The sequence below is a fragment of the Homo sapiens genome, chromosome 5, assembly GCF_000001405.40.
Source record: "Homo sapiens chromosome 5, GRCh38.p14 Primary Assembly".
NCBI lineage: Eukaryota > Metazoa > Chordata > Mammalia > Primates > Hominidae > Homo > Homo sapiens.
In genome coordinates, this window is record NC_000005.10 from 92412755 (window position 1) to 92431547 (window position 18793).

The 18793-nt window shown below is 35.4% G+C and overlaps 1 long non-coding RNA gene across 3 annotated transcripts in view; it reads left to right on the plus strand.

Annotated features, from left to right (window-relative positions):
• LOC105379080 (uncharacterized) overlaps nt 1-18793 on the plus strand; it is a 166831-nt gene that overhangs the window by 88630 nt on the left and 59408 nt on the right. For 2 of the 3 annotated variants that reach the window (XR_001742806.2, XR_007058867.1), the window contains one exon: nt 2707-2930. This is a non-coding gene — a long non-coding RNA (uncharacterized LOC105379080). Of the gene's footprint in view, nt 1-2706; nt 4376-18793 lie in introns of those variants that run through there. The other variant, XR_007058865.1, reaches the window with a different exon arrangement.

The following is an 18793-nucleotide window of genomic DNA, read 5'->3' on the forward strand; positions in this document are numbered from 1 at the left end:
CTCTCTACCACATCTCAGACACCAGCTCTGCTATCTAGCAATAAGGAAAGTGTCTCAGTTCCTTCAACCCAATGTTCTCTTTGCTTCTGGGGTCTTCTATATCTATAGAAGGCAAGAGGTAGCCAGTGTATAGCATGTCAAGAGACGGAGCAAGAGGGAGAGAGAGGGGAGGTACCAGACTCTTTAGAACAAACAGATCTCACATGAACATAGAGTGAGAACTCATTCATTACTGTAAGAACACCACCAAGCCATTTATGAGAAATCTGTTCCCACAATGCAAACACCTCCCACTAGAGCCACTGCCAATATTGGAGGTCACTTTTTAACATTAGCTTTGGAGGGGACAAAACATCTAAATTATATAAACTAGATTCAAGGATATTATATTTTTAGCAATTTTGAATAAATAATTTTTGAAAGCATGTGATATGAAGCAAGTGCAATTCTCACAAACCTCTTATCTCCTTCACCATCTTATTAGAGAAAGTCTCCAAATCTCAGAAGACAATTTTTGAGTATTGCTGCAGAGCCTACATTTTACCCATTTCTTTGACTAGAAAGAAAATTAGAATATTCAGCAGAGTAAAAGTGGTAGAAAAAGTTGTGATTACCTCCCAATTGCCCTATATCCCCAACTGCTATTCACTAAACAGACTGAAATCTCTCTCTGCTGCAAACCTCAGGAAGTAAAGAGATATGTCAGGAAAACGCTCACATCCCATGTACCCACAGTAAATTTTGTGTATGGGAGAAACAGAGAGAACCATCTTGGAGAAGAAAATCAATTCTCCCTTAATTGGGTGTTCTAAGAGGTTAGAACACTGAATGAAGGCTGGGGCTTGGTTAGATCAGGAGATTAAAAACAATGATTTTAGTATAAGTATCAGTTGACCTAGAAGGAGGGAAGTAAGAATGTGAGGAGGAGAGTTATAATTGTCTTGTGCTGATGAGCATGTATGTATCTCTCATATGTAAAAGCATCTGATGCATAGATGATTCTTTACAAATACCCATTAATCATATTCACTCCCACAATACAACCTTTTGTTCACTATCTAAATGCATTTGTATGTGTTTGGCTATGTTAAGTACTTAAGTTATATTCTGCCAACAGAAGTATAATATAAGTGATATAAGGTTATAGATCTAGAATATTCCAGAAACTAAGAATCATTTCTCTCCCTGTGTATCTTAAAATGCTCTCTCTGTGTATGTAAAAAGAATCCTAAATGCATCTGTTTTGTTCTGCTACCCACTGGCACTAGCACTCAGGAGAATCATGTAACTTCCTTAGATCTTATATGTAAAATGAGGCACTTCATTATTTCACTTATAAAGTTCTATGTGCACACACCTAATAAATTTATCACGCTCATAGAACAAGATGTGCTCATGATAGAGATGTGAAATCAGCTTCATACATCGTGACATGTTTATAGTATCAACTTTTAAGTGTTGTATGTAGATTTATTTTTGCTTGTAGCAATAGTACAGTACCCGCACCTTTAAAATAAAGGGGGTCTTGCATTGTTATATTCTTAAAGCCAACTAGTTAAGATAAAATTAATGAACTTTTAACTGTATTTGGGTAATATTAAAATAAATATAAAATTATAAGGAGTTGTTCACATGTCTCTTTTCTGGTTAAGCATATCAATTTTCAGACAGGCCTACTGAAAAGCTTGAATTTTTTTTTCCTTGCCCAGTCTTTAAGATTATTGGTTCTGACTTGCATAATATCATACATTTAACTGCAGTATTTGTTGAATTAATCAATGGATAATGAGCAGAATACACTACTTTTACACTAACAAGAACTAGTTTTACATTTTTTCTCTTTCAAACTCTGCAAAACTATATGTTCAAAGATAACATATCTCAAAAGAAACCTTTAAGAGTTTTTTTGTTTTTTAAATTGATCTAACCCTAAGAATGCATTCAATTGGCCACTGACACTCGTAAGAGTGTGTTTAAATGTTAATTATCTCCTCTTGATCCTTGATATTTTTTCTGCATCAAGAATGGGTCAATGCACACTTGTATTCATAGAGTCTCTCTTTGAGTGATTCATTGATCCTGATATGTTTTGGATTCTAAGATAAGAAATTATCAAATACAACATTAATGTGTTTATGACATTTTTGGAGAAAAGAGGCACTAATTTTTTTAAGGAAGAGTGTACACTGATTCTAAGAAGGACTCACATTTATAATATGTGGAAATATAGGAGGAAAGACTGTGACTTAGAAAAAAGGAAATATATATATGCATATTTAATTGTACAAATATGTACATATTTTCCATCTGTATGTAAATGCATATATATATACACACACACATATATTACACCATGTTAACAGCTTCAGACACAACTTACTTCTTTGAAGTTTTAGCATTTGATGCTTAAAATAACTAACCTAGGAAAGGTAGTTCAACAGATTGAATTTCGAGAAAGAAAAGAAAAATTAGGGTTGCAGATTTTAATCCCAGATCTGCCACTTCTTTCTAAACTATATGGCCTTGGCAGGTTACCTAGTTTATCTTACCTAGATTCCTCATTTGTGAATAGGTTATATTAATAATATTCCATATAGTGTTGTTATGAAATAATACATAGAAAATTCTTAGGATAAAGAATGTATGATGTAACTGCATATATAGGTAACAAAATTTTAAATTGGATCTTTTCTCTTTCTGTTTCAGCTGAGGCCTTTGAGATACTATATGAACTGCTCCAACATTCTGAAGAGAAGGTCTGGATCATTTAAGTAGGACTTGCAAAGAAAGTGGCCTAGATCCTTAGCTGAGCTGATCACTTACCTCAAACCTATAAAGAAGTGGAGGGGCCAAGAATAGGTGTTGGATATCAGCGGGAGAGTTTCATCAAAGAGCTGTCAGTTTCATCTCAACCTTACCCTCCAGGAGAGGTAAGATGTCCTCTGTCTCACAATAAATGAGTTTGACTTTTGGTCCTGGGCATCTGTGGTACTGAGAGCTTAGGGCTGGCTCCATGCTTTAAAATATGTATATGTGAGAACTGCATGAACTCGCCAGTGCGGAGATGAAAAAGAAAGAAAAAAGTCAGGAAGCTCCAGAAGCTTTCTACATTTCCATTTGAGATAAGGACAAGGATGCTTGAATGTTTTTCTTGAAGAAGTGAACAAATGGAACAGAAATCTACATTTTACCTGAGAGAGGAAAGAGAGTGCATAACTGTTTCTCATGAACCACAGTGAAGTTTGAGAGCATAGGCTCAGAACCAACTCAAATCCTCTATACAAAGATTGCCTGGAGAGTCAAGGTGAACACCCCTCCTACGCACACACCTGCCAACACACACACAAAAGACAGAGGAAGACTACAGGATTGCAAAAGGAGAGAGAAGGAACACAAGTGGCTAGCTGAAGGAAAAGTATTGCTTAAATTTGGGGACCACTGCAGAAGGTTTCCAATAGCACTCCAAAAAAATAGGAGGCCACATGAATCATAATCAATCCCAAAGGAATCCATCATAAATACTGGTCACAGCTGGAAGTAACCAATACTCTATTGGTGTCTGTCCTTGTTCATGTACTTGTCTCCCCACCACTCCAATCACTGAAGCTGAGTCTCTTGGGTGGTGTGCAAAGGAGATCGAATCCAGCCAAGTGACAGGATGAAAGAGAATCTGACCACACTCTCCATACTTGCCACAGGCTTCCAAGCTCAAAGGGTCCTGTAGTGAGAGAGGAGTGGCTCTTTGTTTTTTTTTGTTTTGTTTTGTTTTGTTTTGTTTTAAGATGGAGTCTCCCTCTGTTGTCCAGGCTGGAGTGCAGTGGCGTAATCTCAGCTCACTGCAACCTCTGCTTCCTGGGTTCAAGCAATTCTCGTGCCTCAGCATCCCTGAGTAGCTGGGATTACAGGTGCCCGTCACCACACCCGGCTAATTTTTGTATTTTTAGTAGAGACAGCAGAAATGGGGCTTTGCCATGTTGGCCAGGCTGATTTCAAACTCCTGACCTCAGGTGATCAGCCCACCTTGGCCTCCCAAAGTTCTGGGAATACAGGCGTGAGCCACTGCACCCAGCTGAGAGGCTCTTTTTAAATTTTAAAATATTTAATTGACAAATGAAAATTATATATAATCAAGGTACACACATGATGATTTAATATGCTTGTACATTATATATTGTCTATCACAGTGTAATTAACATATCCTTCACCACCCATAGTTACCATTGTGGAGTGTGGTGAGAGTTGAGGACACTTATAATCTGCTATCTTAACAAAGTTCAAGTAAACAATACAGTATTAGTAACTAAGGTCACTATTCTATACATTAGATGCCCAGAAATTATTCATCTTATAATAAAGTTTGTACCCTTTGACCAAATTTCCTGAGCTGCTCTGTGCTCCCCACCACGCCTGTCAACCACTATTCTGCTGTTTGCCTCTATGAGTTTGACTTTTGAAATTTTGGAGGTTTTAAAGATCACTCTGGTCTAAACATAAACTAGCCAATTCAGTAACCACTAGCAGCATGCAACCACTTAAATTTAAATTTAAAATAATTAAAATTAAACAAGGTTAAAAATCCAGTTTATCAGTCACACTAGCCAGATTTCAAATACTCAATAACTACTTGCAGCTACTTTATTGGACAGTGCAGATATTAAAATTTTCTATTAGACAGCACTGGTGCCATATATATTAATCAGTGAACTGAGAGTTTGGTTATTTGTCACTAAAAGTTATCAGAAGACTTTTTTTTTTTTTTTGAGATGGAGTCTGGCTCTGTCGCCCAGGCTGGAGTGCAATGGCACTGTCTTGGCTTACTGCAAGCTCTGCCTCCTGGGTTCAGACAATTCTCCTGCCTCAGCCTCCCATGTAGCTGGGACTACAGGTGCCCGCCATCATGCCCAGCTAATTTTTTGTATTTTTTAGTAGAGAGGGGGTTTCACCATGTTAGCCAGGATGGTCTTGATCTCCTGACCTCATGATCCACCTGCCTCAGCCTCCTGAAGTGCTGGGATTACAGGCGTGAGCCACGGCACCTGGCCTATCAGAGGGCTTTTGTTATTACCTGAGAGTTGGCAGATAACATGATTGCACAGAGTAGGATTAAATGGCCCAAAGAAGAACAGAGTGGTTGATCTGATTTCACTTGATGAGTCGCAGCTCTTCAGTGCTCTGTTTCTACACCCAGGTAAAACTCGTTGCCTAAGCAAAAGTATTGATTATTATTGAAAATAATACACATCAAATGTAGTGCCTGGGCATCTATTGGGCTCCATATTCAACTTTTTCTTTTCTTGGAAAATTTCGGGTAGAGTGAGGGAAGAATATAAAAAAAATCCAAGGAAGTCATTTAAACCAAATAAAATGATAACACTTGTGATACTCTAAATGTGGATTCTAGATTTTAAAAATGAATGTAAAAATAAAAACACCACCGAAGTGTTATAAATATTGTAAAAAATTTGTGGGGTTGAAAATTTGAAAATTACTTATCAACTTATTTATTCAAACTTTTGTAAACTTTATTCCATTTTTAAGTCTTATAGTAATCACTAACATGCATCATTTAGATGCTTGAAAATATTCTTGGACTCTCGTGTGTTTTGTAATAACAATCATAGTTTTCTTTTTAGTCATGTGCATAACCTAGAACAGAAGGCAATTCAATTTAGTCTCCTTACGAGATATTTGTTCTCTTTTTATCCATTACTTTCTTAAGATTTAATGTGACATATTAAAAACATAAAATCATATGAAATACTTTATCATAAACACCAACCTACAAAAAAATTTCTTAGTACATTACTCCATGGGGAAATAAATGTAAGCTTTCTGCTGAAAACAGATGGCAAGCTCACAAATAGAGCTTTTGCAGGTGTTTTATATGGGAATAATGTTGCTGTAAGTCTCCAGAAAAATGATAGCATATTAGTGCTAGAGACACTAAAGCACTTAAAGTCCGATCACCCCCTTTGACAGTTGTGGAAATTGAGGCCTGTTGCCACTTTCCTCGGGTGGCAGCATAATAGGAGAATTAAGAACATGGATTGGAATTGAAGAAACTAAATCCGTGCCCTGACCCTGGCCCATATCTACTGGGCAAATTTGAGCAAGTAGCTTAATAGCCCTAGGTTTCAATTTCTTCCCATGTGAACTTAGAATAATAATGCCAAATAATATAATTACAAACTGATCAATTTCTTATGAGACAGATGATGTTCGCAACATACAATTTATGGTAGCAATCATTTTTTTCTCCTCCATTACTGCTTTAAATTTTTCTATAATTACCCACTTAAAGTCACAAGACAAAGTGAGTGAAGTCCCCAGCCATTCACTTTCCTCTGTTGCCCTCTGCTCAGGGATCCCAGGATCTCAGTACTGGCAGCAGGAGTGAGCCCTGCTGAACTATTTTTCCCAAATTAAGCCTTTAGCACCAGAGTAGGATTAGGAAGGGAAATTGAGGCGGCATCCACTCTCAGCTACATTTGCTTCTAGAGTCCTCTTTCACATTTTCCTGCCCCCAGAATGGAGGAAATTCTGCCCTTCTCTCAGTCCCAAGTCCTTTCCCATTTCCAGAACAAGTGAAAATTTTTTCAGGGAAAAATACACTTTCTTATACATGAGTTTTATGTGCAGGATTTTGCATATAGACTATCCTTGGAACAGTCAAGGGACAAACTGGAAACAAATCAATATGCACAGAGCAGGAAACTAGAGGATTTTGAGACTGAACCAAGAACCACTCACTACAGTGTATAGCCTATGTTGGGGAAACAAATGGCTATAAAAGAGGACACTGGGGCTTTTCTAACTTTAGCTTCCAAAGTACTTAACAATTCCAGGCATACTTCAGGCAATCATCAATAATTAAAGTAAAAGGTAAAAACCTGTCAAATAAATGAGAGAGTATAACCAGACCCATTATATTCTGGATAGTGCACAGGGATCTAACTGGGCTAGGTATTAGACTTTAGGAAAAAGGCCCTTGTCCTGAAACTATAAAATTTATGTGCTGCATGACAACAGGAGCACTGGCCTTTGTTCTATCAGGAGCTGGAGTCCAAGTTCTGCAATTAGAGTTTGTGTCATGCGAGAGCCTTCACCTCACCCTCTGTTCTTACACCAGCAGTGAAGTACAGCTGGTCTCCATCCCTTGTAGATTTTAGTTCTAAAATGACCTGTTCTTCAAGGACATCCCAAAATCTCAACTGAAGTGTACAAAAATAAAAAATATATAATTTTATATTTATGCAAGAGAGAAATATTTATATAAATATGAAATTATATTTAGATAATTTTATAAATCATATTTTATAATTATTTACTTTAATTATCAATTATATTAATTTTATGAAGAACTATTTAAATTATAAATTTATATATACATAAAGAGAGAGAATTGAGATTGGATACCATCTCAACTCCCCCTCTTAGTCCTACTCTGGTGCAAATATATATATATATATATATTTCTTTAATTTTTTAAAATTTTCAAATCCAGTATCTACATAACATTGCCATTTATTTCTTCAGGTAACAAAAACATAATATCAACCAATCACACATTTCCCATACTTTGATTGTGTTTATATTCTGAGGCACTTTGAAGTAGCATCATTACTGAAACACCAGGGGTTTGTTCCAGGCCCTGCTGCTTGCCACACAGAAAGCCAATCACTGAGACAATGAGTATTGCCTGGGAAGAAGGCTTTAATCAGGTGCTACAGATGAGATGGGGGAACAATCTCATATCTCCTCAACTGAATGAAATTAGGGGTTTATAATGCAGTGAAGAAATGTAACTATGTGCAGGAAAACAGCAGTTAGGGAGGGATAAGGAAGACATGTTGGTCAACAGGAAGCAGATAATCAGTTGAAGATTATGACAGGTGAAGGGCCTGGTGACTTATTGTCTAGTTTCAGTGATTTGCTAAGTTTCAGTTCTTTGATACCATCTGGGAGGACTGATGGCTATTTTCCTGAGAAAGGAACTCAGATTACACAAATGAAACTTTCTCAATTTTTAATATTGGGAAGGTCAATTTCTATGTTTATTCAGAAGGAATTGTAAAGATCAGTTCTACAGGACAATTGGGCTGGTTTCAGTCTCCCCTTTTCTATTTATTAAGAATCTGGTATCAATTTCTCTGGCTGCTTTATGATGAAGAGAGGTGTTGTGGACAGCTCCAAACGTGGCCACCCATGAATTAATGGTTAATCTAATTCTATAGTTTTCTTCTGCAACACAATCTCTCTCTTCAGTCACATAGGAATACAATATTCTTTAGGATAAGGCCTATCTTTCCTGATTATTACAACAGTGTAACCATAACACAGTTTTTCCTCATTACCTAAAGGAGAAGATCTGAATCCAATTCAAATTACTGATTTAATTTAATTACCTTGGAAATAAACAGCATTTAAACATTTCTACTCTCACCTACTTTTCCAAATAATAAAATATGTGTGCTATTTCTGTTCTGTAAAATATATGTACTATTTCTGTTCAGAACTTATGAAGATAAGCCTATTTTCTTTTCCAGGAAACTTAAAGCATTTATAGCTCTCTAGATCATCAGAAGTAAGCAAAACCAATCCAGTTTTAAATAGCTGGTGTGTAGTATCATTTTTTGGAGGCTTGACAAAGGTAGCTTGGGAATTTTATATAAATAGAGCAAATGATGAGTTGTTGGAAATGCATAGGAAACAAATGACAATTCATGGAACCAAATACAAGCCTTCCAGCAGAAAGTAAAAAATAAAATAGTTGTTTTATATATGTGTATATAAGTGAAACCCAAAGGAGATCAAAGAGTAAACAAATGGAAATTAAAAGCAAAATCAACTAAACAGAAAACTAACCCCAAATTTTTCTCCTACTCAGTTTACCTTAGAGGCTACAGTGTTACCCAGAGTCTAAAAAAGAAAATACAAAAAAAGATGAATATTTTGTTCCTGATACATAAATTAACGTCTTTAAGTCTTCCAACACCACATACATTTTGTGCAATTAAGAAGTTTACTTCAAGCACATAACCAGTAAACATTTTAGTGCTAGTACTATCTATGCAGAATAGCAAATACAGTATGAAACAAAACAATGAAAGCATCTTTATGAAATTTGTTTCCACGGTAAATCTGGCTTTGTGCTTACCTATACTAAAAAGAAATTTTCAAACACCAGCATATTTCTTTACATTATTTCATATTTTACCTTTATCAAGATTAGGAGCTTTGATTATGAGCAATGTTAATTAGTTGAATTTTTCCAATTTTCCATCTTGTCTTAAAGAATGTTTTATTAACTAAACTTTTTCAAGTTCCTATTTTCTCTGAATGTACATGAAGATAAACACAGAGAGAAACAGGAATAAATGTACATATGACTTACACGGACCATCTATGACATGCTTTGACTTTCTATTTTGTCCTAAATTCTTTTCTTTTTGATAACCAGTCATTTTATTTTATTACAAAAATTTTCATAATTCATAATTTGAATAAACAGATAATTTCTGAATTAGATAAAATTACTCCTTTCCTCAATAAAAACACATCTTCTTTAGCACATTTTATATACAGAATTATAACCTTAAATTTTAGTGAAAGTCTAGGAAGCAATAAATCCTGAACAACTATCAGATGTTAGCATTTGATAGCTGAAAACATTCCATAATTTTTTAAAACATGTGTTCCCATATCATAACCCTCTAGTAATTGGAAATGACCCAAACATCAAAGGAACATTAAAAATAATTTTAAGATTTTTAAATTATACAAAAAGTTTCCTTATGGTAAAAGAAAAACTTCAGCCCAATTAAAGAGTTTAATTGAGCAAAGAACGATTTGCAAATCAGGCAGCCTCCCACACCAGAGTAGGCTCAGAGACTCTGGTGCAGCCATGTGGTAGAAGATTTATGGACAGAAAAAGGAAAGTGATGTACACAAATCAGAAGCGAGGGACAGAAACTGCTGTATTGGTTATAGCTCGGTGTTTGTCTTAGTTGAACACAATTTAAACAGTTGGCCACATTTGATTGACCAAAATTCAGTGATTGGCACAAGAGTACAGTATAGTCTGTTTACACTTCTATTTAGGCTATGATTCATGATGTACAGAGAAACTTTTAGGCCAAACTTAAAATATGTAAGGAGGCAGTTTTAGACTAAACTTGATTTAACAATCCCCTCCTTTTGGTCATCCTCTCAATTTTGAGAGGATGACCAAAAGTTCAGTGATTGATGGCACTATCATCATTGTAACTGTACTTATTTGCTCTTGAAACCCACTGGAAAATAGAACTACGGGTTTTGTAAGATGGGAACAAGGACTTCAGGTCATTGTTTTAAAAGGGTTCCAGTAGAGGGTATCTCCTTATGCCGGAACATCCTGTTTACAGAAAAAAAAAAAAAAAAAAAACCTAAACCTGTCTTTTCTAGGATCTATGTGTTTCCTTAAAGTCTTAGTTTGATTATGTCACATTTAGCATAAGTGACTCCATTTTGGTTTGATCTGGTCTTTTGGGGCCTACTGCATGAGCTCAGTTCCAAAAAAATGGCCTCCAATAATTGTCTTTAAAAAATATCCCCCATTTAGTCAAATGCTCCTTAGGTAAGAGTGTGACCAACACTTATGGCCTTAGTGTCACTCTCAGTTACCATCATTTTGGGTTTCCAGTCTCAGAATGTCATTTATGGTTATGGTGCCCTCATGGTCACACATTTTTTCATTCTTGTCATTACAGTTGAAGAGAGACCACTTGATACTCTAGAGATGGCTGCATGCAAACTTGTAAAGCTTTTCAGAGACCACAGTGCACCAGGGAGACTACTATTATGACTATCAGGAGGATAATACCAAGAGTTTTGAGTATGCTTCTTACCCAGGGTCTCCATAAAGCAAACAAACTAAAATCAATAGATCAAAGAATGAGCTAGATAAAGAGTCTACTTGCTTTAACTAAGCAGTCTCTTCGTTAATCCCCTACTATTTAATCTCTGTAATACCCAATGTGATATATTTCTCCATGGGCAACAAGTGCCAGCAACTGCACGGTTACTTCTCTGTTTAGCCAGGAAGTAATCTAGAGAAATTCTATTATTCAGCATCACTTTCATGAGATAATTTAAAGTCTGTTGTGTAATCACAGCTCTTACAGGAGAATCTGCTATGAAGCCTATGGTGAGGAATGAATTTCTAATCATTGCCTCCTTTACTAACTATGGAAAAAAGTACCTAACAAATGATGCCCTTCTAGAAGAATGACGACCTTCTGGCAATGTTCTTTTAACCCACACTGTAGGTTGAGAGGAGTTCTTTCTGACTGATTATGGAGCAATGTACATACCATTAAAATTTCTCACCTACATTGGGCCTTCATCTTCCATCTATCAAGGCATAAGTTTATTGTATTAGTCCGTTCTTGTATTGCTATAAAGAAGTACCTGAGACTGGGTACTTTATAAAAAAAAAGTGGTTTAATTGACTCACAGTTCTGCAGGTTGTACAGGAAGCATGGCTGAAGAGGCCTCAGGAAATTTACAATCATGGCAGAAGTTGAAGGAAAAGCAGTCACATCTTCACTTGTCAGAGCAGGAGAAAGAGTGAACAGGAAGGTTCCACACACTTTTAAACAACCAGACCTCATGAGAACTCTATCACAAGACAGTACTAAAGGGATCACGTTAAACCATTAGAAACCACAACCATGATCCAATCACCTCCCACCAGTCCTCACAAACACTGGGGATTACAATTCAACATGAGTTTTGGGTGGGGACACAGAGCCAAACCATATCTGTTATCCATGTATAAGTCTGCATGGCTGCAGCATCCTTCACAAATAAAAGTATACCCCATGAGTGCACACAACAGATTCCATTTTTACTTCTATTGTTTATAGAGGCATAGCAAGGGGAAAAATTCAAAGATAAGAGTCTCATGGTACTAGAGAAGTCTTGATCTGTGATCTTGGGAAAAAGCTTCTGTGATCTTGGGGAAAAGGATGCCATCTTCTGGGCAGAAAATCTTCCCTGGTTAGCTTTACCTTAAGGGTTCCCAAGGATGTCCAGTTTTGAGAGTGTGGAGGGATGCTTCTGAGTTGTAAGACTATGAACCCAAGGTTCAAGGTCCTGAAGGTTTGCTGCAATGTGGATGGCAGGAGCAGTCTTTCTCTGGTGTTCTCAGACAGTTCAATCTTTGGGTTATGGATTATGAAGGGGTTGATTGTCCTCAGTCAGTGAACCATGAAAAGCTTTCTGTAACTGGTGAAAATACACAGTGGCATAATAAGCTACTGTTATAACATCAGCTCTCTTGAATGGAAAATCTTTTATAGAACCAGAAAACATGTGTTGAAAATGACAACTGAATGATATCCCTCTATAAATGTTTAAGTGGCCTATCATGTTGTGGAATGTACCTGAAGCTTTGTGTTCCCAGGAATATTGGTTTGACAAACCAAACATTGGTCATACACTATTTTAGCAGTTTATAAGCTACCACAGCAATATGTATTTAATTTGGGTCATTTTTATCATTTTCATGATGAGTCATGGAATGCAGGACTCAGGAAGGATAAGGCAGCCGTCCTGGTTCTCCATGCTTGACATTGGACTTATGTCCTTTTGAATACCAGTTGTTTCCCCAATTTAGGTGCATAGCACTGACAACTGATGGCTTATCATAGATAATTTAACTTAGACCACAGAGTTCATTCAAATTGTATATCTAAACAATTTCAGTATTGGCTGTTTTAGCATGAAAAGTGGCAAAGTATCTTCTTGGTATTTAATTAGTTTCTGTTCTACTTGGGTTAGCAGATTGGCAAATCAGTCAGTCTTTTCACTGAAGTTCCAGGAATTCAGCCAGATATGGTGGCTCACACCTTTAATCCCAGCCCTTTGGGAAGCTGAGGCAGGCGGATCACTTGAGGCCAGGAGTTTGAGACCAGCCTGGCCAACATGGTGAAACCCCATTTCTACTAAAATATACAAAAATCAGCCAGGTGTGGTGACACACACCTGTAATCCCCAATACTCAGCCGGCTAAGGCACGAGAATTTCCTGAACCCAGGAGGCAGAGGTTGCAGTGAACCGAGATCGTGCCACTGCACTCCAGTCTAGGCAACATGTGTCAATAACATAAACTTCTGACATTTAATTGTATTTATTATTCTACATGCCTTTTTTTCATTAAAATTAAATTCATTACCAGTTCCTCTGGCTACATGACTGCACATCTTTGAAAATTGTTCTCTTCCATATTGTTCTCCATAATACTTGGAGTGAAAATTTTACATACATTTGTACAATACTGGATTATATTAAACTAACAATTTGAAATTTCCATGAATATACACTCTAGGAATATACAATTTTCATGGAAATACAGTTTTGCTTACTTTATATTCTCAATATCCTGCACAAAATGCATGACGTCTAGTAATTCTCAATAAATAATTATTAAAATAATGAACAACTATTGCTAATGCAGTACTTTGGCCTGTTCTCATTACTGAAATATTTTGCTCTACACGATTCTCCACTTACAAAGATCATATTCAACTTCTAATGCTAGCTCAAATAACACTCTCTCCATTAGTCTTGGTCTAGTCTGTTAGCTAGAATTTACCTCTTTTGCTCTTGAACATGAACAGTATATTTATTTTTAATATTTTTAAATTTGAGATAATTGTAGATTTATATATATTGTAAGAAATATGACAGAAAAAGTCTGTGAATCATTGTATGGTAATATTTTGTATACCTATAGCACAGTATTACAACTTGAAAATTGATGTCAATGAAATCCATTAACCCTATTCAGATCTCACCACATTTACATACACTTTTATTTATTTATCTATTTTTGAGACAGGGTCTCACTCTGCCGCCCAGGCTGGAGTTCAGTGGTGCAATCATGGCTCACTGCAGCCTCAACCTCCTGGGTTCAAGCAATCCTCCCACCTCAGCCTCTCCACTAGCTGAGACCAAAGGCACACACCACCATGCCCAGCTAATTTTTTGTAGAGACCAGTTTCACCATTGCTCTGGCTGGTCTCTAATTCCTGGGCTCAAGTGATCCTCCTGCCTCAGCCTCCCAAATTGCTAGGATTATAGGTATGTGCCACTGCGCCTGGCTGCACTCATTTGTGTTTGTGTGTGCATTTGGTTCTTTATAATATTATCACATTTGTAGATTTCTATGATTATTACCATAATAAAGATACAGAACAGTTCCATCCTAAGTACTCCGTGTGCTACTATTTTTTGCCATAGCCATATCTTTTCCCCCTTAACTCCTTAATCCCCAGCAACCACTAATCTATTCTGCATTTTATGTCATTTAAAAATGTATTATAAATGAAATCACATGCTACGTAACCATTTGAGATTGACTTTTTTTTAAATTCAGTGTAATACTCTTGAGATCCATCCAAGTTATTGGGTGTAGCAATAGTGGCTCCTTTTTATTGCTCAATAGTATTCCATGGCATGAATGTGTCTGTTTATTCACACATGGGAGGACGTTTGGGTTGTTTCCCATTTGAGGCTATTATGAATAAAGCTGTTCTGAACATTAATGATTAGGCTTTTGTGTGAACATAAGTTTTTATTTCTTTGAGACAAACACCATAAAAACATTTTAATATTGAGGAACTATTAAAAGATTAAATGTTGGCGGAAATGGAAACTTGGAGTCTCTATGAAACTGAGTTTCCATAAAAGATAAGTATTGTATTGTTAGGTAATGTATAGAACTTGTTTAATAACTACAACATAATGAACATTTGATTCGGTCAACTTTGGTTCTATCTAGAGAGACAATATTGTGATCATGGGTATTTGACGCACACACACACAATCAAAAAATGCAGTCGATCTACTAATTATTTGCAATGCATTACAAAGAACATACTGTTTGATGTTTTTATTGAACAATTGAATTATCTATTAGTTCCAGACAACCAGAGAGTTAACTATTGATCTTGATGTTTTTTTAAGTTGCTTGTCAGTCAAGGCTACATCCTTTATGCAACATTTTTTTCTCCAGAATGTGCTTCAATTTTCTAAATGAGACACAGTCTTTGCTTTCTAATTCACTGAAAAGAAAGAGCCCACTCAATATATGTCCTCTTATCTCAGGATACTTCTGTTATTGTTCTCATTTTTTATTACTTCTTAACCAGCATAAAAGAATGTGTGTATGTAAACACGTTCCAATTGTGGAAGGTAATACACACCTTAGATTCCATACCTTTATAATTCTTTACTCTCCTTCTTCATTTAGTTTCTCCTTTTCTCCCTTCAAATATACAAAACCTCATTCTGCAAAATTATTTTATTTAGTACTCTTGAAGTTTTTTTTCCTTTTAATTATCAAACTTTTCATATGTGTGGTTCATAACCTCAGGTTTCACTTTCTTTCAAGCTAATCCTTTATTAACTCTCTGAAATGCATTTTTCATTCTTACCACTCAGCTAAAATGACAATTCCAATTTTGACAACAGTAGTCTTTTTATTCCATAATAATAATAATAATAATAATAACAGTCTCTCTATTGTCATGCTTTCTGACACTACTGTCAAAGTTGGTTACCGATTTCATCTAAAAATTTTCTCCTGTCAGGGGTATCTAGAATAGTTTCTTGTTTTACTTGAAATAAATATTCAAGTTAGATGGTTTCTTCTCCATCCTGTGAGGGTTTCCATGTTGCTCCTTTTTTTGAAGCATGAATCAGCTAGACTAATTAAGATGCCATCGAAAGAAAGATTTAGGATTGTGTTCTCTGACCATGGAGCGGACGCCTTAACAGGAACCAAGTGTCAAAAGGGATGGTAAGGCCAGATGCATTAACATGCATCACATTTCAGTGAATTTCTGGCATATACCCTGAATGAAAGAGAGCACCCATACACAACACCACGTGAGCCTTTTATTTTATTAATTTATTTTTGCTGCAGGGTGAACCCTGACTTCATTTCTATTCCTCTTACTGCCAAATAAATATCACTCACAACCTCAAAAAATGTTTTACAGAAGTAATAAGAATATTGCATCAAAAAATAAAGAATTTATGAACAGGTTTTTTATGCTCCATCTCTCCAGAAAGAGAAAAGTCAACTGCATATATAGTAAACATTTTTAAACTTTTGTTTATAATTGGCATATAATTGTACATATTTATGGGTAGAGTGTGATGTCTCAATACATGTATACATTGTATACAATTCAAACCAAGGTATTTAGCATACTCATAGTCTCATGCATTTGTCATTTATTTGTGGTGAGAACATTCAAAGTCTTCTCTTATAGCTATTTTGAAATATACAATATGATATTGTTAACCATAGTCATCCTACTGTGAAATAGAACACTGGAACTTATACTTCCTATCCAACTGTAATTTAGTACCCATTGAGCAGTCTTGAAAAACTTTCAAAACACTTCATTCTGAAGATTCGATGCAGGTTTATCTTGATCTACAATTTCCTATTTAAATACAGATTGAAAAGGAATGTTTGTTACCTACACTTCTGAATCACAGTACCTTACTTTTCAATGGCATCCTTGACGTAGCTTAAGAAACTAAATTCAGATGCCAAGACCATACTCTCCACATGTGTGTGAGCATGCACACACACACACACACACACAGATATGTTGACATGTTTACTAGGAAACCAAAAAAATAAATAACCCTTTTTGCTCCCATAGAAGGATGTAGAGTCATTTCCATGATTTTGAAAACTCAAGCCATCAAAATGAGATATCCTGAACAAAAGGAGAAAAACACAACCTCGGCAATATATGATGTTCACTTTCATTTAATAGAGTTAATATAAATCTTTGCAGCTGTATTCCTAAAAAAATGAAATTAAAACTATCAAACTTTTGATATCCCTCATGTGACAGTGACCCCTTTTGGCCTTGCAGTTCTCTCCTACTCTTACCTTACTTTTACATATCCTTGAACATAATAAGCCTCCCACCACTAATGTTATAAAGTAGTAATTGTTCCTAATTGGTAGGGAGGCGACAGACCATTCTGGTAATGTTGTGAAACTATAAGAAAGGAGGAGTGAGAACATTCACGGGCCCAGCAGTAATTATCCACTAATTTGGCCTGTTTGTGTGGGGACAGCTCATTATAGCCCTTAAGAAACCTCAGAATAAAGAGGGAAAGTAGGTAGGAGGCAAGGTTAAATAATTAGTGTTCGGCAGATTTTTTTTTAAGATTCAAAGAATAGGATTAAGGGTGGGAAATGTGACCAGAGTAACAATTAAGAAATGGTAGAATATTCTGAACTAAGTGGGTTTTATGTTTTTGTGGGAGTAGGGGTATATAAGAATCCTATATTATGGCATAAAAAATGATGTGTCACTTTTATTACACTTTTTCAATTATAGCCCTGATCATCCCCTTACATTTTATAGTGCCAATCTCATCTTAACAGGAGATTTATTCTCATGAGTCTTAAAAGATTTTCACAGTTTTCATAAAATAATGTATAAAGTTTTTATATCATCTTATCTTTAACATTTGTAGATTTGTTTTGGGAGTTGGAAACACATACTTGTATGCACACACATGAGGAGGAGCATAATACAGACTTTGCAAATAAATAATTATTCAACTGCAACTCTGTTAGCAAACTTGAACTCCTAGATTTCTCACCTATTTATATCTGATACCTCTATTTTAAAAGTATGTATGCTTACTCTTGCTTTTATATGAATATGTACATATATACATTCACAGACATATACATACACATGTTTGGTAAATAATTTGTATAGAGTCTTTCAAAGATTTTCTAACAGCATCATTTTCAACAGTCTTTTCTAATAAGTAATATTTATCTAACCAATTTAGGTGATTGCAATTAGTGTTTTTATCCACTTAATACAAAGTGAAATGCACTGGTTGAAAAATTTTAAATCAAATGAGCTCTGTAATTTGAGTTACCCAGAAAACACCTATGTATGTCTTAAATATTTACTCATTAAAGGACTTTGGGAAAAGTTCCAGAATATTATAGTCCCCATTCCTTTGCTGAAAGGTGACAATATTCGTAATTGCAATATATAAATAGAAGCATTGGATGGGTCCAACAGATTTAGGCTAAAATATGATATTAATATTGCAAAGGTCATACCTTTTATCCATATATACATTAGATAATTTTTCTCTCATAATTCAAAATAAACTTCTCTAAACCAAGAGATGGGTTAGAAAAGTATTCTTCTCTTCATAAGGGGAGTCATGTGGTATCAATATATGCATGAATAAATTAATAAAAATTTATTACCAACATTTGAAAAACAATTTCAAAAAAGTCACAAGCCCTATCTGCTCTTGATGAAGCATTGTCTTTATTTATGCATAAAGTTACTGCAGCATAAGAATGATTACATTAATTTTTCTCATTTTCCTTATCTTTGAAACACTAGTATGTTTCAATGAATGGCATGTTATTGTGTGTTTTTCTGTGGGTTTTTTTGTTTGTTTTATTAATTTTTCAAATTTTCTGCAGACACAAGGGTGACTTATGAATGGCATGTTTTTGGCTACTTAGCAACTCCTGAAGCTCATGACACATAAAACTGAATAAAAAAGAATTTGTTTCTACACTGCCTTTTCAAATATTTATTTGTGTTTCATTAGACTAGTAGTTTTCAAATTATTCTTCTCAAAATTACTTAGGAGACTACAAATAATTTTATGTCATTTCCTCAATTTGCACTTCTACTCACCTTCAATGTTCTCCATACAAAAGCAACAT